Source organism: Homo sapiens, chromosome 6 (genome assembly GCF_000001405.40).
Source record: "Homo sapiens chromosome 6, GRCh38.p14 Primary Assembly".
Classification (NCBI taxonomy): Eukaryota; Metazoa; Chordata; class Mammalia; order Primates; family Hominidae; genus Homo; species Homo sapiens.
Window position 1 is genome coordinate 162,564,471 of NC_000006.12, and position 25,255 is coordinate 162,589,725.

The 25,255-nt window shown below is 40.0% G+C and overlaps 1 protein-coding gene and 1 pseudogene across 5 annotated transcripts in view; one reads left to right on the top strand and one right to left on the bottom strand.

Moving 5' to 3' along the window:
* Positions 1-25,255, bottom strand: part of PRKN (parkin RBR E3 ubiquitin protein ligase) — a 1,380,350-nt gene that overhangs the window by 1,217,054 nt on the left and 138,041 nt on the right. The window lies entirely within an intron of this gene.
* On the top strand, positions 3,833-5,496 carry KRT8P44 (keratin 8 pseudogene 44; annotated as a pseudogene).

A 25,255-nucleotide genomic window follows, 5' to 3' on the forward strand; every position in this document is an offset into this window, starting at 1 on the left:
GAAAGATATCAATATACAACTACAACAAGGTTACAGAACACCAAGGAGATTTAATGCAAAGAAAACTACATCAAGGCATTTAATAATCAAACTCCCAAAGGTCAAGGATAAAGAAAGGATCCTAAAGGCAGCAAAAGGAAAGAAATAAATAACATACAATGGAGCTCCAAAACATCTGGCAGCAGACTTTTCAGTGGAAACCTTACAGGCTAGGAGAGAATGGCATGACATATTTAAAGTGCTGAAGGAAAAATCTTTTATCTTATAATAGTGTATCTGGCAAAACTATCCTTTAAACATGAAGGAGAAATAAAGACTTTCCCAGACAAACAAAAGCTGGAGAATTTCACCAATAGCAGACCTGTCCTACAGGAAATGCTAAAAGGAGTACTTCAATCAGAAAAAAAAAAAAAAAAATTAATGAGCAATAAATAATCACCTGAAGGTACAAAACTCACTGGTAATAGTAAGTACACAGGAAAACCTAGAATATTATAACAGTGTAACTGTGGTGTGTAAACTACTCTTACCCTAAGTAAAAAGACTAAACAATGAACGAATCAAAAATAATAACTGAAATAACTTTTCAAGGCATAGTGAGTACAATAAGATATAAATAGACACAATAAAAAGTTAAAATGCCAGGGGATAAAGTTAAGGTATAGAGTTTTTATTAGTTTTCTTTTTGTCTCTTTGTTTATGCAATTGGTGTTAAGTTGTTATGAGGTTAAAATGATAATATCAAACCAAAACAACACACAGTGGAGACACAAAAAAGAAAAAGCAAGAAACTAAAACGTATCACCAGAGAAAATCACCTCTGCTAGAGGAAGATAGGAAGAAAAGAAAGAAGGAAGAGAAGACAACAAAACAACGAGAAAACAAATAACAAAATGGAGGAGTAAGTCCTTACTTATAAATAATAACATTGGCCGGGAGCGGTGGCTCAATGTGTATAATCCCGGCACTTTGGAAGGCTGAGGTGGGCGGGTCACCTGCCTGGGAGGTCAGGAGTTGGAGACAAGCCTGGCAAACATGGTGAAACCCTATCTCTACTAAAAATACAAAAATTAACCAGGCGTGGTGGTGTGTGCCTGTAATCCCAGCCACTCCAAAGGCTGAGGCAAGATAATTGCTTGAACCTGACAGGCAGAGGTTGCAGTGAGCTGAGATCGTGCCATTGCACTCCAGCCTGGGTGACAAGAGTGAAACTCAGTCTCAAAATAAATACATACATACATACATACATACATACATACATACATACATATAATGAATGTAAAGGGACTAAACTCTGCAACAAAAAGACACAGACTGGGTGAATGGATGAAAAAAACAAGACTCATTTATATGTTGCCTACAAGAAACACACTTCACTATAAAGATCCACATAGATTGAAAATAAAGGGATGGAAGAAGATATTCTATGCTAATGGAAAACAAAAAATGGCAGGAGTTGCTATACTTATATCAGAAAAAATAGATTTCAAGACAAAAACTATAAGAAGATATAAAAAGGTCACTATATAATGATAAAGGGGTCAATTCAGCAAGACGATATAAGAACTTTAAATATATATGCACCCAACACTGGAGCACCCAGATATATTAAGATAAAGCACATGGTATTAGAGCCAAAGAGAGAGATAAGCCTCAATACAATAATAACTAGAGACTTCAGTACCCCACTTTCAGAACTGGACAGGTCTTCAAATAGAAAATCAACAAAGAAACATCAGACTTAATCTTCATGATAGCCCAAAAATCAGCAGCATTTCTATATGCCAAGAATTAGTAGAAGAAAATAATAATAAAGATCAGAGCAGAAATAAATAAATTGAAATGAAAAAAATACAAAAGATCAATAAAACAAAAAGTTGGTTTCTTGAAAAGTCAAACAAAATAGACAAATCTTTAGCCAGGCTAACAAAGAAAAAAAGAGAGAAGATCCAAATAAAACCATAAATGAAAAACGAAACATTGCAACTGATACTGCAAAAGTTCAAAGGATCATTAGTGGCTACTATGAGCAACTATATGTCAATATATTGGAAAGTCTAGAAGAAGTGGACAAATTCCTAGATACATACAACCTACCATTATTGAACCAGGCAAAAAAATCCAAAACCCAAACAGACCAATAACAAGTAACAAGATTAAAGCCATAATAAAAAATCTTCCAGTAAAGAAAAGCCCAGGACCTGATGGCTTCACTGCTGAATTCTACCAAACATTTAAAGAAGAACTAATACCAACCCTACTCAAACTATTCCAAAAGACAGAGGAGGAGGGAATACTTCCAAACTTGTTCTACAAGGCCAGTATTACTCTGATACCAAAACCACAGACACATCAAAAAAAGAAAACTACAGGCCAATATTTCTGATGAATATTGATGCAAAAATCCTCAACAAAATACTAGCAAACTGAATTCAACATTACATCAGAAAGTGGGATTTATCCCTGGGATGCAAGGATGATTCAAAATATTCAAGTCAATCAATGTGATACATCATATCAACAGAATGAAAGATAAAAATCATATGATGATTTCAATTGATGCTGAAAAAGCATTTAATAAAATTCAACATCCTTCATGATAAAAATTCTCAAAATACTGGGGATAAAAGGAACACATCTCAACATATGGCTTTTATTAAAAGCCATAAATGACAGACCCACAGGTAGTATCATACTACATGGGGAAAAACTGAAAGCCTTTCTTCTAAGATCGGGAACATGACAAGGATGCCTGATGTCACCACTGTTATTCAACATAGTACTGGAAGTCCTAGCTAGAGCAATCAGAAAAGAGAAAGAAATAAAAGGCATCCAAATTGTAAAGGAAGAAGTCAAATTATCCTTGTCTGCAGATGATATGATCTTATATTTGGAAAAACCTTAAGATTCCACAAGAAACCATTAGAACTGATACCCAAATTCAGTAGAGTTGCAGGACACAAAATCTACATACAAAAATCAGTAGCATTTCTAAATGCCAACAGAGAACAATGTGAAATAAATAAAAGAAATTTTTAAAAATTCCATTTACAATAGCCACACATAAAATTAAATTCTTAGGAATTACCCAAAGAAGCAAAAGATCTCTATAATGAAAACTATAAAACACTAATGAAATAAATCAAAGAGAATGCCAAAAAAGGAAAAATATTCCATGTTCATGGATAAAATCCAATATTGTTAAAATGTCCATACTACACAAAGCAATCTACAGTTTCAGTGCAATCTCTATCAAAATGCCAATGACATTCTTCTGGGAAATAGAAAAAAGAATCCTAAAAGTTACATGGCACCACAAAAGACCCAGAATAGCCAAAGTTATCCTAAGCAAAAGGAACAAAACTGAAGGAATCACATTACTTGACTTCAAATTATACTACAGAGCTATTGTAAGCAAAACAGCATGGTACTGGCATAAAAACAGACACACAGAGCAATGAAACAGAACAGAGAGCCAAGAAACAAATCCACACACCTACAGCAAACTCATTTTTGACAAAAGTGCCAAGAACATACACTGGGAAAAAGAGTTTCTTCAGTAAGTGGTGCTGAGAAGACAGGATATCAATAGGCAGAAGAATGAAACTAGACTTCTATCTCTCACCATATATAAAAATCAAAGCAAAATCGATTTAAAAATTAAATAGAAAACCTCAAACTATGAAATTACTTCAAGAAAACATTGGGGAAACTCTCCAGGACACTGGTCTGTCTGGGTAAAAATTTCTTGAGCAATACCCCACAAGCACAAGCAACCAAAGCAAAAATGGACAAAGGGGATCATATCAAGTCAAAAAGCTTCTGCACAGTGACCAAGAAGCAGCTTCTCTGCTCCTTCTGGAATCTCTGCCTGGTTCAATCCACTTGCCTCTACTCCTGCCTCCACCATGTCCATCAGGGTGACCCAGAAGTCCTATAAGGTGTCCACCTCTATGGGCAGCAGCAGCTTCCGGGGGTGGCCTGGGTGGAGGCTCTGGTGGGGCCGGCGGCATGGGAGGCATCACCGCCGTTGTGGTCAACCAGAGACTGCTGAGCCTCCTTAACCTGGAGGTGGACCCCAACATCCAGGCCGTGCAGGAGCAGGAGAAGGAGAAGGAGCAGATCAGGACCCTCAACAACAAGTTTGCCTCCTTCATAGGCAAGGTACGGTTCCTGGAGCAGCAGAACAACATGCTAGAGACCAAGTGGAGCCTCCTGCAGCAGCAGAAGATGGCTTGGAGCAACATGGGCAACATGTTCAAGAGCTACATCAACAACCCTAGGGGGCAGCCGGACACTCTGGTCCAGGAGAAGCTGAAGCTAGAGGCAGAGCTTGGCAACATGCAGGGGCTGGTGGAGGACTTTAAGAACAAGTACAAGGATGAGATCAATAAGTGTACAGAGATGGAGAATGAATTTATCCTCATCAGGAAGGACATGGATGATGCTTACGTGAACAAGGTAGAGCTGTAGTCTCAGCTGGAAGGGCTGGCTGACGAGATCAATTTCCTCAGGCAGCTGTATGAAGAGGAGACCTTGGAGCTGCAGTCCCAGATCTCGGACACATCTATGGTGCTGTCCAGGACAACAGCCACTTCCTGGACATGGACAGCATCATTGCTGAGGTCAAGGCGTAGTATGAGGAGATCACCCAACCTCAGCCGGGCTGAGGCTAAGAGCATGTACCAGATCAAGTATAAGGAGCTGCAGATGCAAAGACTGAGATCTCCAAGATGAACTGGAACATCAGCCAGCCCCAGGCTGAGACTGAGGGCCTCAAAAGCCAGAGGGCTTCCCTGGAGGCCACCATCGCAGATGTCAAGCAGCGTGGGGAGCTGGCCATTAAGGATGCCAACACCAAGCTGTCCAAGCTGGAGGCTGCCCTGCAACAGGCCATGCAGGACATGGCGTGGCAGCTGCATGAGTACCAGAAGCTGAAGAACATGAAGCTGGCCCTGGACATCGAGATTGCCACCTACAGGAAGCTGCTGGAGAGTGAGGAGAGCCACCTGGAGTCTGGGATGCAGAACATGAGTATCCATACAAAGACCACCAGCGCCTATGCAGATGGTCTGAGCTTGGCCTATGGGGGTCTCACAAGCCCTGGCCTCAGCTATGGCCTGGGCTCCAGCTTTGGCTCTGACATGGGCTCCAGCTCCTTCAGCTGCACCAGCTCCACCAGGGCCATGGTTGTGAAGAAGATCAAGACCTGCGATGGGAAGCTGGTATCCGAGTCCTCTGATGTCCTTCCTAAGTGAACAGCTGCGACAGCCCCTCCCAGCCTGCCCCTCTGGTGGCTGCCCCAGAGCCTGGGAGGGAGGCTGCTGTGCAGCGGAGCACAGGGAATGGGAGACCCACCTGAGGCTCAGCCCTAGCCCTCAGCCCACCCACGGGGGAGTTTACTGCCTGGGGACCACCTTGCCCATGCCTTCAGCTACAAAACAACTCAACTGCTTTTATTTTTTTCCCCCCAAAATAAAACCTCAGCTAGCCCTGAAAAAAAGGCTTCTGCACAGTAAAAGGATACAATCAACAAAGTGAAGAGACAACCAAAATAATGGGAGAACATATTTGCAAACCCTGCCAGGGGATTAATAATCAGAATATACAAGGAGCTCAAACAATGCTATAGGAAAAAAATATATAATAATCTGATCATTTTAAATAGGCAAAAGATTTGAACAGACATTTCTCAAAAGAAGACATACAAATGGCAAACAGGCATATGAAAAGGTGGTCAACATCACTCATCATCAGAGAAAGGCGAATCAAAACTACAATGAGCTATTATCTCACCCCAGGTAAAATGGCTTGTATCCCAAAAGACAGGCAATAACAAATGCTGTCAAGGTTGTGGAGAAAAGGGAACCCTCATATACTGTTGGTGAAAATGTAAATTACTACAACCACTATGGAGAAGATTATTTTTTAGTTTTGAGGTTCCTCAAAAACTAAAAATTAAGCTACTATTTGATCCTGCAATACCACTGCTGGGTATATATCCAAAAGAAAGGAAATCAGTGTATACAAGATATATCTGCACTCCTATGTTTGCTAAAGCTCTGTATATAATAGTTAAGATTTGGAAGCAACCTAAGCATCCATCAACAGATGAATAATGCATAAGGAAAACGTGGTACACATGTACAATGGAGTACTATTCAGCCATAAAAAAGAGTGAGAGCCAGTCATTTGCAACAACCTGGATAGAATTGGAAACTATTAAATAAGCCAGGCAGAGAAAGACAAACATCACATGTTCTCACTTATTTGTGGAATCTAGTAATCAAAACAGTTGAACCCATGGACATAGAGAGTAGGAGAATAGTTATCAGAGGTTGGGAAGGTAGAGGGAGGATGGGAGGGAAAAAAATAGAATGAATAAGACCTACTATTTGATAGCATAACAGGGTGACCACAGTCAATAATAACTTAATTGTGTATTTTAAAATAACTTAAAGAGTGTAATTGGATTGTTTGTAACTCAAAGGATAAATGCTTGAGGGGATGGATACTCCATTTTCCATGTTGTGATTATTTCACATTGCATGCCTGTATCAAAATATCTCATGGCTGGGCACAGTGGCTCATGCCTATAATGCTAGTACTTTAGGAGGCTGAGGCAGGTGGATCACCTGAGGTCAGGAGTTCAAGGCCAGCCTAGCCAACATAGTGAAACCCCTGTCTCTACTAAAAATACAAAAATTAGATGGGCGTGGTGGTGGATACCTGTAATCTCAGCTACTTGGGAGGCTGAGACAGGAGAATCGCTTGAACTCAGGAGGCAGAGGTTGCAGTGAGCCGAGATCGTGCCATTGCACTCCAGCCTGGGCAACAGAGAAAAACTCATTTCAAAAAAAAAAAAAAAAGCAAAACAAATGAAAAAAAGCACCTTATGTATCCTATAAATATACACGCATACTATGTACCCACAAAAATAATAATTAAAAAAGATAATCTAGTGAAAAGATGATTCAGGACTGATCAGAGGCAATAGTTAGGCAAAAAAATTAAAACTGCTTTGACAAACTTTTGGCAGATAAAATTTGTGATTGGTTGAATGTAGGCACTCAGTGAGAAGGGATAAAACAGAAAACTCTAGTATGGAGGACTGGGTAGATGTGACTTCCCCACACGAGAAAACAGCCATTGATTTAGGGGCAGCAATGAAGATTTTAGCTGGATGTAAAGTACCCGTGGGATGTCCAAGTTGAGGGAGCCAGGAGCAAGGTGCCTGAGCTGGCACTTCAGGGAGAAGCCTGGCATGGAGCTAGGAGGCAGGCAACATATGCTCAACGAGGAAAGAGCCCAGAGGTGGCATACAGGATAAACAGCAAGAGAAATATGAAGAGAACTAGGAAAATGCAGATAAGTAACTGCACTATCAATAAAATATTAAACCACAAATGTGAGACTCATTGCCCTGTCATGTTATCTGAGACCAATACATTCAAAAGCAAGTATAATAAAGGTACAGATGACCTGAGAGCACAGAAATGCTTAGACAAATTTGGAAAAAAAAACAAACAGACATTCCAGATGCAAACCTAGGATTGAACAATTAGTGTATCTTTGACTATCCCCCATCTCATTACCCATCCAGCCTGCATCCTGGCACCTAGACTTGAGCTCTGGCCCTCTATTACCCCCTTTAGGTACTGTCTCACCTGTCCCAAATGTGTCTTTGAATGTCCACGTAGGTTCTGAAGGTGGCCTTCAGTCTGTCATGCTGAATGAGTTAAATTTTCCAGGAAAATCCATATCCCAAATTATTGCTTACTATGATCTCCTGCATAATGTTAAGTAACTTGGGTTTTACTCTACATGCTTCCATACTGCTACAGAATAAACACTCAGCACTCGTGAAAAAGAATTTATGGCTACAGAAAACATATCCAAGACTTACACAAGAAGATTTACAGCTAAGCCCTGACATTAATTGGCTTTGTAATCCAGCTTAGCTCCTCTTGCTCCAGCTGTCATCTGCAGAATGAAGATAATGGAGCAGTGAAGTTGTCACAGCATCCGAATTACTATCCTGATGGGCCAGGTGTAGACAGACATCCTTAAGTCTGTCACTAGAGAGAGCAAAACGTCTTCATGGGGGCAATATCATTTTACAGTATTTGGGGCACTGAAATATTCCTTTCAGAGTGTCCTTACTTTACTACAAAATGTCCTACCAGGGAAAGAAAAATATTATCAATTCTATTGAAAGAAAGCATTAAAGGAATCTCACTAGCTCTTTCAGTAAAATCAATCAGGAAATCATGAATGATAACACTTATTATGCAGACATACATTATCCATCCACTCCTTTAAAAATATTTATAGAAAATTTAGGTTCCTGTGGCTGTGAAACTATTCTCAAAAAACTCTGCGTAACCTAAAAACAAACAAAACCCCCTGGGGCTCTTCCCTTTGCTCCCCAGTAATTCTCCTCTGCATTTTTAATATCTGTGTGTCACCCCCTGTCATTAATAAAGCTATCAACAGTCAGTAAAAGGCAACAGAAGTGTTTCATTGAAATCTTAATTGCCAGACATACAGAATATCTTAAAAACTGTCCTTTAAATGCCCACATTTCTCAAAATCATCTCTTAATTTTATTTACAATTACATTTTTCACTTTCTGGGTGCTCCATTTTCCATTTTTAGAATGTCTTATATATTTGGGTAGATTCCAAACAGAAAATGAGTTCCAAGCCTTGGACTGAATCACTCATTCCAATGGGTGATCCTAAAACTGAAATGCAGGCTTACCTCAAAAACTAAGACCTCCCAGCCCTCACTCTGTGCATGCAAGCTTCCACCTTTTTTCATGCAAGCTCCCCAAGGAGGACACTGCCTCTCGTGCACAGGCAGGCCCAGGAGCTGATTTGGAGATCTTTCTGGCTCTCTGTCGTCTGCAGACTTTCAGTGCTCCCATGCATAGATATTGGTCCCCTTCCTGAGGATCATAACACCTTCGAGTTCTTCCATCCTTTGAAACCTCCTCGTTGTGACAACGTTCCAGCTAGACCCAGCTTGCTTCTACTAAGTCTGTTCTGTTTACTGTCTCTTTTGTTATAAAATTATTTACTCATTTTATTTTAGTGATGTGAATTAAATGGGTCATATATGCTTTTGCTAGTAATCCAAGTGATATTGAGGTTTCTACATTTTAATAATGAGTCACATCCTCTGGTCTACCAATGCCACTTCCATCACCCACCCCTTCCTAGTTAAAAATTTGGCTAGCATCTTTCCGTACTTTTCTCTTATTTGTACAAACGTGAAATACATTTACATAAGTTCATTTAAAGGGAATGTATAACTTATTCTGAATTATGATTTATATATTCTGAATTGTGATCATTTATGTAACACAAAGCTCGCTGCTTGCAGAGTAGAATTAACAAGCGTGAGGCCTGTTAGAAAGAAAGTGACTTTATTAACCAAAACTAGTCGTGGGGAAGTGGTTGGATTCCCATCCAAAGCAACTACTTCAAATTTTGGTGGGGAAGGAAAGAGTTTAAAAAGGGAGAACTTGATACGAAAGGCATGCCAGAACTGTGCTGAGGACGATGCCTGTGCATCTTGTTCCAGTGGCTATCTTGGGTCCCAGTCCACCTGGTACATGGTCTGGCATCATCTCAACAGTGGCGGGGCTGCTGATTAGCCCTCTGAGGCCATCTCTGGAACTCTGCAGCTGGGTCTCCAGGCTTGGTCTGTCTGTCTCAAGATTAGCCCCCAAATCTTCAAAGAAGGCACATAATTAGATGCTAGCGTACAGTTAGATAAATAAGAAGGGAGTATATCTGGAGAAAAACGGAGGGACGTGGAGTCTATTTTAAGGCTAAAGGAAACAGGCTTCTGTAGTTTGCTTCAAGGTTACATCTTGAAACCCAAGAGAAAGAGGAAAAAAAAAAGTTTTAAAATGCATTTTGAGGTTATGCTGCCCAGTTACATTTACATCATGATATTCTTAAGCCAACCATCTTTTTAACGTCTCTTTCATAGTATGGATATTCCGGTTTTTATTCTACCATTTCATTACTGATGGATCTTCACATTGAATATTTCGTCACTAGAAGCAATACTGCTACTTATTTCAACGTGTATCTTGGACATTCCTGTAGTTTTATTTCTGAAGGCTAAATTCTCAAAATAGGATGGCCGTTTCATAGGAAATGCATATGTACATTTTGAAGAGATCATAAGATTGCTATCCCCCAAAATGTTGAAGTAATTTATTCCTCTATCAATAAGACATATAGCCCCTATTTCTTCAACAGCAGTGAATGATACTAAGTTGTTTTTTTTTTTTGCTGATTTGATAGACAAAAAGAGGTATTTTGTTGTTTTAATATGAACTTGCTTGATTCCAGTGAGGTCAAATGGATTGGTTGTTTTATTTTCCATTATGTACACTAGTTGTTCTGAGTGGACTTGGCAACAGTGTAGTTGAGTTTTCCCCTTTCACATTTTATAGATTAGGGATGTTAATCCTTTGTTTTATGCTTTTCAAATATTCTCTCCCAGTTTATGGTCCATCTTTTATTTCTATTTGTTATTTCTTTCACCATACATAACATTTCAGTTTTTATGTAATCAAACTCATCAGTGTTCTTGGTAATGGCTACTAGGTCTCCTCTCCTCCTTCAGAAGGCCTCTTCTATGCCATGGAGAAAATGAGGCTCGACGTCCCTCAAATTCCAGGCCATGCACCTGGATCTGCATCTATCTTCATCTTCTGTCAGTCTTGGAGAAAGCGATGTCTTCTGGTAGAAACAGAACTACCTACTGTGTTCTTCACCTCTTCATTGCTTCAGACAAAAGACTGCAAAATGACCTCTGCATGGTCACACCCAGTAAACCATTTTTAACCCTGACCTTTATTGCTCATTCTACACAGGTGACCCCTCTGATGATTTCATAGGCTCTCACTTGTGAATTCCTGAAGACATCCTGGCTGTCCTCCTCTCCCTCCAGCAATTGTATCTCAGCTTCCTGAGAGCACATGCCGCTTTTCCTCCGTATTTTCCCTTGGTCTTTTTTCATTTAATGCAGTCTTACTTGTTGACCCCCTAGCTCCCAGGACTTACAGTTTAGTCTCTATGCTGATACATGCAGACTTGACCTCCATGCTTGCCTCTCTAGCACATTCCCAGATTTCTCAGCTCCAGACCCATTTTTATACAGACTACACATCCACAACTGAGCCTGTCATCACCATCAGATATTTGGTGTCTAAAAGAATGGCCAGGGCTACATCCCAGTCACACAGGCTATAGGTCTCACTGTCTCCATGGACTCCTCAACACTATTTGTATTATAAATAAACACCATAGGATTTGTGCCCTCTAGACCCATGACACCCTATATTCCAGAACAAGAGAACAATCGGCCTGGAGGTTTTGCTTGGATCTCTTGTACACTCTTGCAACAGTCCCCCAGCAGCAACTCTCCAGTCATTCTCCATTCAGTTTTGCATTCTGTAGCCATAAAACCTGGGTCTTGACTGTGCCTCTTCCCTTGGAAAAATCCTATCTTGGTTCTATTGGTTTATAATGAAGTTCAATCTCCCTGTAAGGTTTAGGAGACCACGCATGGCTTGAATCTTACTTCTTTCTTCAACCTTGGTTCTCACTCTGCTTCCTTCTGCCTCCTCACTCTGACCATGTCCTCTCTTCAGAAACCATATCCTGATTTCCAGTTTCCTGTCTACTATGTTCTCTCTCACCTATGTACCATTGAACATGCAGTTCCCTCTGCTGACTCAGTCTTAAAGTATGATGGGAAGGCTAGAGCATCACAAAAATGCCTGGACAGTTAGACACAATTATTAATAAAAGTCAAATCTCAAAAGGCATGCTGTCTATTAATACAAACACTAAATGTAAACAAGAAAATTTCATATTAGGAAGATGAAATCAACGCTGCATTACCACTAACTTGAACAAGGGGTGGGCAATAGACACAGAAATGAAATTACCCAGTGTTGAACATTCAGATTGACTTTGGAATCTCACAGGCTTTCCTAAAAAAACACTTCTTCCCTTTAAAAAGGTACTACTGGCTTGGTGCAGTGGCTCACGCCTGTAATTCCAGCACTTTGGGAGGCCAAGGTGGGTGGAGTATTTGAGGTCAGGAGTTCGAGACCAGCCTGACCAACATGGTGAAACCCTGTCTCTACTAAAAATACAAAAATTAGCTGGGCGTGGTGGCGCATGCCTGTAGTCCCAGCTACTCAGGAGGCTGAGGCAGGATAATTACTTGAACCCAGAGAGGCGGAGGTTGCAGTGAGACAAGATGGTGCTACTGCACTCCAGCATGGGTGACAGAGTGAGACTCCGTCAAAAAAAAAAAAAAAAAAAAAAGGGACTACTTATTGTACATTTTGAATAAAAGACGAATTGAGAGCGAGGATTTGATGCCCCTCACGGCATCTTAGTGACTAAAGATTTACCATCAGGGTGGGCTCAGTTTCTTTCAGGTAAATGAAAAATGGCAAAAATAATGCCTTTCATTTCTAAACACGACCATAAAGATAAAACATAAAAAATGATGACAGATTTGACGAACTAAATCTTTAAAATGTCTGTATGCCAAAACATACACAAAAACACACATATGCAAATTAAAAGATAAGTGAGTAGGTGGAGAAATAATCATAACCAAAGAGAGTTATATCTTCAATCTATAAAAAGCTCTGATAAATATGAAAAAGATAAATACCCCCAATAAATAAGCAAAGATATAAACAGATAACTTAAAAAAAGATGATCAATAATAGGAAAAAAATCAATCAAATCACATGGAAAAGAATAAGATAACAGTTTGAATTCTAAAACTGGCAAAAATGGGCCAGGCACGGTGGCTCGTGCCTGTAATCCCAGCACTTTGGGAGGCCGAGGCACGTGGATCACCTAAGGTCAGGAGTTCGAGACCAGCCTGGCCGACATGGTGAAACCCCGTCTCTACTAAAAATACAAAAATTATTCAGGTCTGATGGCAGGCACCTGTAATCCCAGCTACTCAGGAGGCTGAGGCAGGAGAATTGCTTGAACCCGGGAGGCGGGGGGTGCAGTAAGCGGAGATCACACCATGGCACTCCAGCCTAGGCAACAGAGCAAGACTCTGTCTCAAAATAAATAAATAAAATAAAATAAAATAAAATATAATTGGCAAAAATGGGCCAGGCACAGTGGCTCACCTATAATCCCAGCACTTTGGGAAGCCAAGAGAGAAGGATTACTCGAGACCAGGGGTTTGAGATCAGCCTCAGTAACATAGTGAGGATCTGTCTCCACTAAAACTAAAAAATTTAGCCAGGCAAGATGGTGCATGCCTGTAGTCCCAGCTACTTGAGAAGCTCAGGTGAGAGGATCACTGGAGCCCAGGAGGTCAAGGTTTCAGTGAGCTGGGATCACACCAGTGCAGTCCAGCCCAGGCAATAGAGTGAGACTCTGTCTCAAAAACCTATAATTAATTTAAAAAATTTTGAAAACTAAATAAATACAATTGGCAAAAATGATTGAAAGGAAGCTAACTTCAATATTGATGAGGGTGTGCAAACATATGCACTCGCAACCACTGATGACGGGAACATAAAAACCCATTCAAAGGCTGATATATGGATATTCTCTCAACCAGCAATTCAACTCATAGGGGTTTATCAAGAGGAAATATTTGGACAAATTAAAATAATATTTAGCCACTAAAAATAGTAATCCACAACCAAAATATTAATGGTACTGAGTGAAAAACATGTACAAAACTATGTGATATATACAAACATATATATAGTATAAGCCTCTGTTTTAATTAAAAATATGAAAATTAAATGTATTAAATATAATGTATTAAAAATATGTTATAAAAGGTTATGTGTGTGCATATATGCGCATGCCTAAAATGGCCTCAGAGGACTTTGCAACAAAAGTTTAACAGTCTGGGGCCGGGCATGTGAAATTAATTATCGTTTTTAAATGTTTCTAGATCTCATACATATTTAAACAAACAGCATAAATATTTCTTATAATAAAACAGCAATACTATTTTAAATGTCTGTTTTGAGGACAATGTATTTAGGAAAATTGTATATAGAACAGGAAAGGAGTACAAGCATGGAAAAGAGGGAAGTCAGTGTTAAATTATAAAACCTGATCACACACTCTATTTGTTCATCATTTAGAATATACTTTTCAAATGGTTTCAATACAATAAAGCCTTAAATGTTTTGCTCTAAGCATTCTTGATTTGATTTTTCACACATAGTATATTTTAAGGGCTGTTCATTTGACTGCATTTGGTTCATTTAAATTCATCTCATCAAAATGCAAAATTTCTAAGAGCTATTTTATCTTCAAAAAAATCCCATTTAAGTCTAACTTATGTCATATTTTTTCTTAGAAAAAGGAAAACAAATTTTACTAAAAGTAAATGAACTTAAGTTCCAAAAGTTCAAGGTTGACACAAAAGTAACTTAAACACCATAAGACAGAAAAACATACTGGCCTTCAATTCTTATTCAAAAAGTTTATTTACCCACATATGTTTCTTTAGTCATCAGTCTACAAAACAATTTGAACCAATTTTTCCTATCTTTTAAAATCTTATGTTACATATTCTTCTTTGACATAGCAAATGAATGTTGAGCCTTTTCCTGGAAAAAGAAATCAAAGCCTGTCATTGCCATGTGCCCCTCTCCTCCAATCCTGCGACTCCCAGTCCATTGAATCTATCTGTCACTTAGTTTCAAGAATATGACATTAAACATGCTGATTCCTCTACTTAGAATGACTTTTCAAATCTTTTATCTTCCATGCCCAGCAAATACTCAGACCCAATACTCCTTCAAGACCCAATCTAATCACCTTATCTCTAGAGACTCCTAATCACTGTAGTGGAGGGTGCCTCAACTTCCTTCAGTGGACAAAATCTACATGCAACAAGTTCATGCACACACACACACACACATTCACACACAGAAATTGACACACCCACTTTCACACACATATCCAGACTCACACAGATTTACACACAAAGTTCACACACACAGATTCACACAGATTCTCATACACACTTTCACACACATATCCAGATTCACACACAGATTTACATACACAAGTTCACACGTGCACAGATTCACACACACAGATACACACATACACACAAATTCACACAGATTTACACAAATTCACACACACAGATACACACAGATTCACACACACATACATAAACACACAAATTTCACACACACAAAATCACACAGATTGAAACACACACATTCACACACATTTACAAACATATAAAAATTCAACACAGATTTATACACACGTTCACACACACAATTATTGGGCTTATATTGTAACTATCTGTTGACATGTCTTTCTTCTCTAGCAGACTCAGCTTCTTATGGAATGCCCTGTTTGCATGCCGACATATACACAGAACCTCCCCAGATGGGTGATACCCCACAACACATTCCCCACAAGAGTTTGCTGAATTGATTAAACATGACCTATCATGAACGTTATCATTATTTTAGATTATTTTCTCAGTATAATACAACTCCTTTTAAGATCCAGTCCCATAGATGTGAAGTGGGCTGAAGAGTTTGGAGTTCATATGACACAAGACACTGGACTTTCGGTGACAAGGAACCATGGTATCAGATGGTGCTTTGAAAGTAACATTGGCTGCACACAGTGGCTCATGCCTGCAATCCCAGCACTTTGGGAGGCTGAGGCAAGCAGACGGCTTGAGCCCAGGAGTTTGAGACCAGCCTGGGTAACATTGCGGAACCCTATCTCTACCAAAAAATACAAAGATTAGCCAGGTGTGGTGGTGCATGCCTGCAGTCCCGGCTACTTGGAAGGCTGAGGTAGGAGGATCACATGAGCCCAGGAAGGTGGAGATTTCTTTGAGGAGTGATTGCACCACTGCACTCCAGCCTGGGCTACAAAGCAAGACCCTGTCTCAGAAAAAAAAAAAAAAAAGTAAAGAAAATAACTTCAAGGAGGGACTGAGAATTGGGAGCAATTTAGGTGTGACCAATCTAGCATGGGGTGACAGGGACCTGTATTAGGAGGATAACAATGGCAAACAGAGAAAAAAAAAAAAATCTGTACGATGCCCCCCAGCAAGTGTCAGGAACAGGCAAGAAAATATTTTATGAAATTCATCTGGATGTGAGAAGGTCCATGAACTGTGTTGGACAATACATCAAGGGAGGCAATTAGGCAAGGCCCCTTTCCCACAGAAACCTTGAGCTACACTGTTTATATGTGGAAGCACACAAACAGCAAGGAGCTGGGCACAGGTTCTCAGCAGGCTGATCAATCTGAGGCTCCATCAGTGCTCCCTCTGCTGTAGAATCCTGAGCGCTTGCTGAGTATATAACGCCTTTGCCACTTCTTCAGAGATTCCTCCCCTCGCCCCAAAGTGTAAGACAGACATCATTCAGTGGCATGTACTAAAAATACAATGGAATGTCTAGCATACTTGCTGAATTGAGAAAACATTAATATCCCAGGCTCCTCGGGTACCAGAATGGAGTCAATGCTAGAAACCACTCTTCTGAGAAAGAGTCAAAAGTGCCACAGCAGGTTCAATGAGGGTGTCACCACTAAGTTAAGATGCTGTCACAAGGCTAATAAAAAGATTAAACGTATTAAAAGGAGAACTGATACTAAGACAAATTTGATTTCCTTTCCCCAAAAGAATACCAAGCATCTGAGATATAGGAGGTTAAGTGAAGGTCAAAAGAGACAGTTAGATTCATTCATAAGCAATTTACTTTTCAGGAGAGATTTTGAAAGATTATTTAACTTAGAATGAATAGTAAAATATTCAAGGTAGTTATATGGCAATTAATGAAAAAGTGGAAATGAATATTAAATTCCTAGCTCACCAGTGTCATGGTCTAACAAGAAAAGGAAACCAATTTCTAATTTTCCCATGGAATGACTTACATAAAGAATTTGTAGATCTTCATATACAAAGACAAATATTTAACTTAGGCCAGGTGCGGTGGCTCACGCCTGTAATCCCGGCACTTTGGGAGGGAAAGGCGGGCGGATCACCTGAGGTCAGGAGTTCGGGACCAGCCTGGCCAACATGGCAAAATCCCGTCTCTACTAAAAATACAAAAATTAACCAGGCGTAGTGACAGGCGACTGTAATCCCAGCTACTTGAGGCTGAGGCAGGAGAATCACTTGAACCCAGGAGGCAGAGGGTGCAGTGAGCCAAGATCACGCCACTGCACTCCAGCCTGGGCAACAAGAGTGAAACTCTGTCTCAAAATATATATATACTTAACTTAGATTTTAAGAGTTTTTCTCAACTAATAGAGTTAGGTAAAGTAAATTACTTAACTGAACTATCTGCACATTTTCCCCTAATTTATCTTTGGAATATAGTTATGAGAAGGCTGGTCAAAACCAAGACACAAAGGTAGACCCCAAAAACCCAACAGGGAGAGGGGGAATCATGTTTTCCCTCACATGACCTCTCTCACAAAGGGCTATAAAAGCCAAAAATTTAAACAGACTTAGATAAAAATTTGAATTATTTCCAAATGCAGAGTGCTAACCACTATAGTCAAGTCATTTAAATTCCCTGTGGTTAAGTCTCTTATCTGCAAAACATGAACATATAAATCTCTTTGATGACATTATTAAGCATTTCACACATTACATATCCATCTGAGAAGACAGCACTGAAGCAGAGAAGTCCAATATTATGTATGCAAAGGATGCCTTGCAGGAGGAAATCCTGTCCTCCTTCAGTTCTCACTGATTTATAGATCCTAAAATGTATAAAAACAAGCATTAAGTATTTTTAAAATGGAAAACAAAATACACTGGAATGAGAATGTTTATCCATGTGACTTTGCACATATGAAAGCTGAATAAATGTTCTGTATCATCCAGTTATTTCAGTTTCAGGAGTTAAGGATACTGAGGATAAAATATCCTGATTATGGTGCCTGCATTTTTGTGTTCACGGAGTTATCCTGTCATATAGATAGCCTAAGGGTCTCTGAAAGAAAAGATGGAGTTACGAATAGAAATTTATTTCTAGGACCAAATTCAAGTTCAAATTTGCATGATAATATCTGCAGTGCTTTATTCCTCTTAAAACCCAAGTTACCAAGCTCTTAAACTCAGCTCTCTTTGCATTTTAATGAACAGAGTCCAAGTCTGATGCTTAAATGGTTTGTTTTTATTTTAAGCTTTTGAATCCCGCATAAGACCTACCACAGTGCTAGGTACTCAGTGGGTCTCTAAAAAACTTATTGGCTGTTTTTAAACTGTACCTTACATGTCTCTGAATTATAACACATGATATTAAATTCAGCAGCAAGGAAAATAAGCCTTTAAGTTCTTACTTTGCTATGCTTCCTTGCTATATGGAAAGACAGTGTTTATGAAAATGTGATTGCTATGGCTTACATGTCTGTCCCCTTCAAAACTCATCTTGAAATTTGGCTGCCATTGTGACAGTGATAGGAGGTAGGACTTTTAGGAGGAGATAGGGCGATAATCCCCAAGCGGATGGGATTAATACCATTATAAAAGGGTAAGTTGTGTGCCTTTTTATCTCTTGGCCCCTTTGCCCCTGCCATTTGAAGCCTCTTTGATCCCCTCGCTCAGGAGGACAGGACGGCATACAAGGTGCCACCTTGGAAGAAGAGAACGACCTTACCAGACACAAAACCTGCTGGCACCTTGACCTTAGACTTCCCAGCCTCCAGAAGAGTGGGTCAATACATTTCTGTTCTTTGCACATTACCTAGTCTGTGATATTCTGTTATAGCAGCATAAATGCACTAAGACAATGACCATTCTATGTGGCAAAGGCTAGAAAGAGGTATAGGGTTTAGAGTTAGCTTCTGAAGTGACCAGCTAGGACAGAAACACTGCGAGAAATTCTTTGTGAATCATGGCTTTTTCATTCCTGGAGTCACTTTTCCTTCGATAAACAAACAAAACTCCACCTGTGAATATAATAGTCTCATATCCAAAAGGGCTGGCTGGTGCTGGGAGAACAGGATATATACTCCTGAAGCCTTTCCTTAAGTGGTAGAATCATTCTTCACTGATGAATCCAACAATTATTCCTGAGATTGATGTGTTGATTTAGCAATGCTCTATCACTCAGCATCTCTCTGTTTATGCTTTTCCTCTCCCAGAGGGCAGCCATTCTAAAGAGTTATCCCTCTCTGCAAGTAGCGAGACTCATAAACTCTACATGAGCATATTTAAGGACTTCCACCATTCAAATGAAAAAAATTACCAAATAGCAAATGATCCTATAAAGAAAAAATTTTCAAATGAAAATAAAACAACCCTCAGAAAAGCCATACAAAAATATAACCCACCACTATCCTCTGAAACCTTTGGAAATCTCTGCTGTCTTACTGAAGTACTTGGAGTTTTAAATGCAGTTTACTGGCTAAGACTGAAAATAGCTGGGCGCGGTGGCTCACGCCTGTAATCCCAGCACTTTGGGAGGCTGAGGCGAGCGGATCACAAGGTCAGGAGATCAAGACCATCCTGGCTAACACGGTGAAACCCCCTCTCTACTAAAAATACAAAAAATTAGCCGGGCGTGGTGGCAGATGCCTGTGGTCCCAGCTACTGGGGAGGCTGAGGCAGGAGAATGGTGTGAACCCAGGAGGCGGAGCTTGCAGTAAGCTGAGATTGCGTCACTGCACTCCAGCCTGGGCGACAGAGTGAGACTCCGTCTCAAAAAAAAAAAACAAAAAACAAAAAACAAAAAACAAAAAAAAAAAAAACACTGACTATATTTACATATGCCTGGACAGAGAACATAGAACACTGTACACAAAACATTATCTGATATACCTTTAAAGTTATTCTTAACCAACATGAGGGAAAATCTGTCATTAGTCAATAAACAAAGTCAATTGCTGAGAGGAACACTCTGTACATTCAGAAAAATTAGAATTCCTGCCTTGCCCCTAAAAAGAATTTAAACATAGCTGCTACTGATTAGAGACAGGGTATTTCAAAGTCCAGCCAGGAAAAAATAATCAGAATAATTCCCCTTGCTCCTAGATCCAGGAGTCAGAAGGTGAATCACAAGCAAAAAATTCATTAATTTATGCTTGTATATCATGATTTTCCAGCTCTCTAAATTAAGGGAAAAAAGCCAGCCATACAATGAATTGTGGGCATATCCTATAAATGGATTTTCAGAAATATTGTCAAAGTTCTTCAAATTAACTTTTCAAGACCAATTCAACAAATACCTTTCTGGGTTTCTTTCTTTTCTTTCTCTTTTCTTTTCCTCTCCTCTCCTCTCCCCTCCCCTCCCCTCCCCTCCCCTCCCCTCCCCTCCCCTGTCCCATCCCCTCCCCTCCCCTGTCCCATCTCCTCCCCTCCCCTCCCCTCCCCTCCCCTCCCCTCCCCTCTCCTCTTCTCTTTTCTTTTCTTTTTGAGATGGAGTCTCACTCTGTCGCCCAGGCTGGAGTGCAATGGCTTGGCTCACTGCAACCTCCACCTCCTGGGTTCAAGTGATTCTCCTGCCTCAGCCTCCCGAGTAGCTGAGATTACAGGTGCCTGCCACCGTGCCAAGCTAATTTTTGTATTTTTAGTAGAGACTGGGTTTCACCATCTTGGCCAGGCTGGTCTTGAACTCCTGATCTCATGATCCACCCACCTCAGCCTCCCAAAGTGCTGGGGTTACAGGCATGAGCCACTGCACCTGGCCTATAAATACCTTTCTTGGACTATATTAGAAATTAACTTTCATTTTTATCGTAAGTACTTTTAACTCTAAAATAAAATTAATATCAAATCACAGTAAACATTTAAGCATATCTAAAAATGAGTGGTTATGGGGGCCATGTCCTCCGACAGCAAACTAACTTCCCTTACACACCACATTTGTCCCGTTACCCATTGGCTGCATTTAGTTCTTCTAACTGCACCCAATTCCTATATTCTGGAAAATTCTCTGGCTCCATTCATTTATTCCATAGATATTTACTCCAATTATCTCAAGGGTAATGCAGGGCATTAGTGTTTACAAACATTCTTCAAACCTGTCATAATTCTATTCTTCTCTTATTTCCTGTTAGCAGTTATTTACATGCGTACATATGAATGATTAAAAGATATAAAAAATGCTCAGTAAATGTTGGTAATTATTTTTGATTCCACATTTCAGGGCAAATATACTGAGTATTTCATAGACTTACATTATTATTATTATTATTAATTTATTTATTTGATATGGAGTTTTGCTCTTGTCGCCCAAGCTGGAGTGCAATGGTGTGATCTCGGCTCACTGCAACCTCCACCTCCTGGGTCGAAGCCATCTCCTGCCTCAGCCTCCTGAATAGCTGGGATTACAGGCGCGTGCCACCATGCCCGGCTAATTTTTTTTGTGTTTTTAGTAGAAACAGGGTTTCACCATGTTAGCCAGGCTGGTCTTGAACTCCTGACCTCAAGTGATCCACCCGCCTCGGCCTCCCAAAGTGATGGGATTACAGGCATGAGCCACCACGCCCAGCCAATTTACATTATTTAACACATCAACCTGATTAATAACATCTCCAATATTACAAAAGCAAAAGCTGGGTTTCCATAGGATAAGTAACTACCTCAGTGTCACCAAGGCACCCAATAGAGGAGCCAGGATTCACCCCCATTTAGCCTGACCCTATGTGCTGGGTAATAAGGGGAAAGTTGTATATAAGTTCAGTAGACAAAATTAAAAGGAGGTACCTTTGGGAATGTCATAATAATGCAACGTACCTCCTTCTAACTACGTGATAAAGCATTATAAGTATCTAGATTTGATAATATCCTGATATTGGCATCTCCGAAGTTATTGTGTTTCAATAGTTAGCATTAATTCGAAACTAAAATGTACTCTGCTAATGCTATCTGTGAGAAACCACTAAAATGTTCTGCTATGATTGTCAGAAATATGTCTTTATATGTTCATGGAGAGGGCAAAGGTACACTATGAACACTACTGACTGAGACACATTATCACCCCATTACCATGTTCTGGTTGGTGAGTAAGTGTCCTGGGAATCTCAGAAGAGAAAGAGGTCCTGTGCCATCCTCTCCAATATGACTATGAGTTAAGGTCATAGCAATCAGGACTTGAAATCTACCACGAGGGGCTATAAGCCGGTTCGTAATTTGACAGCTGCTGCATATTAAATCTAATATCAAGAGCCAAACAGTATTTCTAATCAAGTAAATGGATGACTTTTTCCCTTGAAACAGAAAAAGAAGTTCTGTAAACATGTGTTTGAAGGACACAGAAAAAGAGAGAGAGAGACAGAATAAATTAGGCCAAAAGATATATGAACTGTTAAAGCTTGCAATTAAGACACTTGTTCTTGATTATTTAAAGAAATGAGTTCAGTTCCATCAACACTGACCGAGTGCCTTACATGCCCGTGATAGGCACTGTGGCAGGTCCTACTAATGCAGACACAATGCAGGCATCAGTGCTCTATTAGTCCAATGGTCATGTGAAAGGTAAGCTATATAGTTAAAATCACCAGATCCAAGTGGAAGAAGGCTGTGACTTATTCACCTCGCTATTTTAATAAAGAACTACATTTTAACAAACATTTAATTAAAATGTTTTTATAAGAACATAACATAAGCACACAGTAGCATTTATTCTTATTTTTGCTTTTTTGAGATGGAGTCTCACTCTGTTACCCACGCTGGAGTACAGTGGCGCAATCTCGGCTCATTCAACCTCTGCCTCCTGGGTTCAGGCAATTCTCCTGCCTCAGCCTCCCAAGTAGCTGGGATTACAGGCATGCACCACCACATTCAGCTAATTTTTGTGTTTTTAGTAGAGACAGGGTTTCACTATGTTGGCCAGGCTGGTCTCGAACTCCCAACCCCAGGTGATCTGCCCACCTAGGCCTCCCAAAGCACTGGGATTACAGGTGTGAGCCACCACGCCCAGCCCACAGTAGCATTTATTAAAACCTGGGGTTACAGTTGTCACTGACATAAAGACTAGTCTCACTTCTTGACCTGGTAGCAACTATCAAAAATAAAACATAGAGTCTCGGGAACAAATGGTAGTCCTTCCCCCTTACAGAACAATGGCAATAAATATATTTATGATAATATAATAGTCATAATGAAAATAAACATTACTGTGTTGTTATGCAAAGAATAGGTTAATCTGATGATTATACATGCATAATATGTGATTAAATATAAGCATAATAGACTATCAGTTAGGTTGCAGTGATTTACCTTTAAGAATATCAAAATAAACCTCCTTGATGATTACAAAATGACTTTCCTCATAAAGAAGCACAGAAAGAAAGTAATCTTGACTAGCAAAATGAAAGCTTTACTCATTTGAATTATCATGCAGAATAAAGGGAGAGAAAAATGTATCTATGTTGCAAGGAGATTATACATCTTTCATAACTTGGCTCTCAATAATACAAATAACTAGAAATTTTCATATTTTCTTTGGGAAAAAAGTTACATATCAACATAACCATACTTGAACTAAGTGAGTTTTTGAGTTTTTTTTTTTTTTTTAGATGGAGTCTCAATCTGTCACCCAAGCTAGAGTGCAGTGGCACTATCTTGGCTCACTGCAACCTCCGCTTCCTGGGTTCAAGCAATTCTCCTACCTCAGCCTCCCAAGTATCTGGGATTATAGGTGCATGCCGCCATCCCTAACTAATTTTTGTATTTTTAGTAAAGACAGGGTTTCACCATGTTGGCCAGGCTGGTCTTGAACTCCTGACCTCAAGTGATCTGCCTGCCTCAGCCTCCCAGAGTGCTGGGATTAGAGGTGTGCACCGCGGCGCCCACCGGAACAAAGTGAGTTTTGCTGTGAGAAAGGCCAAATTTCAGTAAGAAATAGGATGATCAGAATGTAATATTCCTCACATTAACAAAAAAAAAAAGCAAACAATATTAAACTAGGATTTCTAAAAAACAACTGAGTTTCCCAGGAAATGGGAACTTCATAACACTGTCCAGCCAGGTGGGCACTATGTCCAGGCAGTGTCCCTGTGCTTTGTGCGGTCCTGCTTTGCTTTATTAGAGCAGAGCTCATTTTTCTTTTTTTTGGAGACGGAGTCTGGCTCAGTCGCCCAGGCTGGAGTGCAGTGGCGCCATCTCGGCTCACTGCAACCTCCACCTCCCAGGTTCACACCATTCTCTTGCCTCAGCCTCCCGAGTAGCTGGGACTACAGGCGCCCGCCACCACGCCCGGGTAATTTTTTGTATTTTTAGTAGAGACTGGGTTTCACCGTGTTAGCCAGGATGGTCTCGATCTCCTGACCTCGTGATCCACCTGCCTCAGCCTCCCAAAGTGCTGGGATTACAGGCGTGAGCCACCGCGCCCGGCCCAGAGCTCATTTTTCATCACCATTAACGTACAGTGCCATAAAGAAAGCTTCTGGGTGGCACCTGGCACACGGTGGGTGCGCAGTAAGTTGCAGCTGTCATTACCGTCACTATGAGTGTGGACCGGATGAAAGCTGAGGTCACCATCCTCTCACTCTCTTCCACTCCCACCAGCTCTCCTCCCCCTGCAAAGCACCCCACCTTTGGGCACCATGGCTCATCAATCTTGTACTGTTATGCTCCAGCTGAAATTCTGGGATTTCTGACAAACTGTATGACTGTGATGTTTTATCTTATTACAAATTTTAGTGTTCTTTACATAGTCCCTTATGCCATAAAGCAACACAAACACATACCCTTGAGATAGTTCACATGGGGTCATACCTACGCAGATTTTAAAAATACCACCACTAGACTTTTTTGCCTTTTTCTCCTTTGTTTCATTGTAAATATCTTCAATCTCTCTCTCTCTCTCAAAAATACAAAAATGTTACAAGAAATTTAAAAAAAATAACACTGATAGCTCCTACCATCCATAAACAGATATATTCGTATTTTGCTTTCTTTCTTCCCAGTATTTTTCTTCCTCATTCACACTTCTGGGAAAAGAAAGGATAGTGACTGTATGTTTAAACAGCTGTACTCATAAGTACACTTTTTTTTTGTCTTCCCTTTTTAAACATTTAACTTTAAATTTAACTTTTAAAATTTAATATGTGTTTTTTCTGTGTTTCAGATTATTTGCAACGCATTCAAAACACATCTTTTCATGGTGTAACCGAATAATAATGAATGTGGCTCTAAGCCTTCCCAGATACTCATAACAGCAACATTTATATTAAAAGTAGAGATACACTTAGGCTTATTGTTGATATTT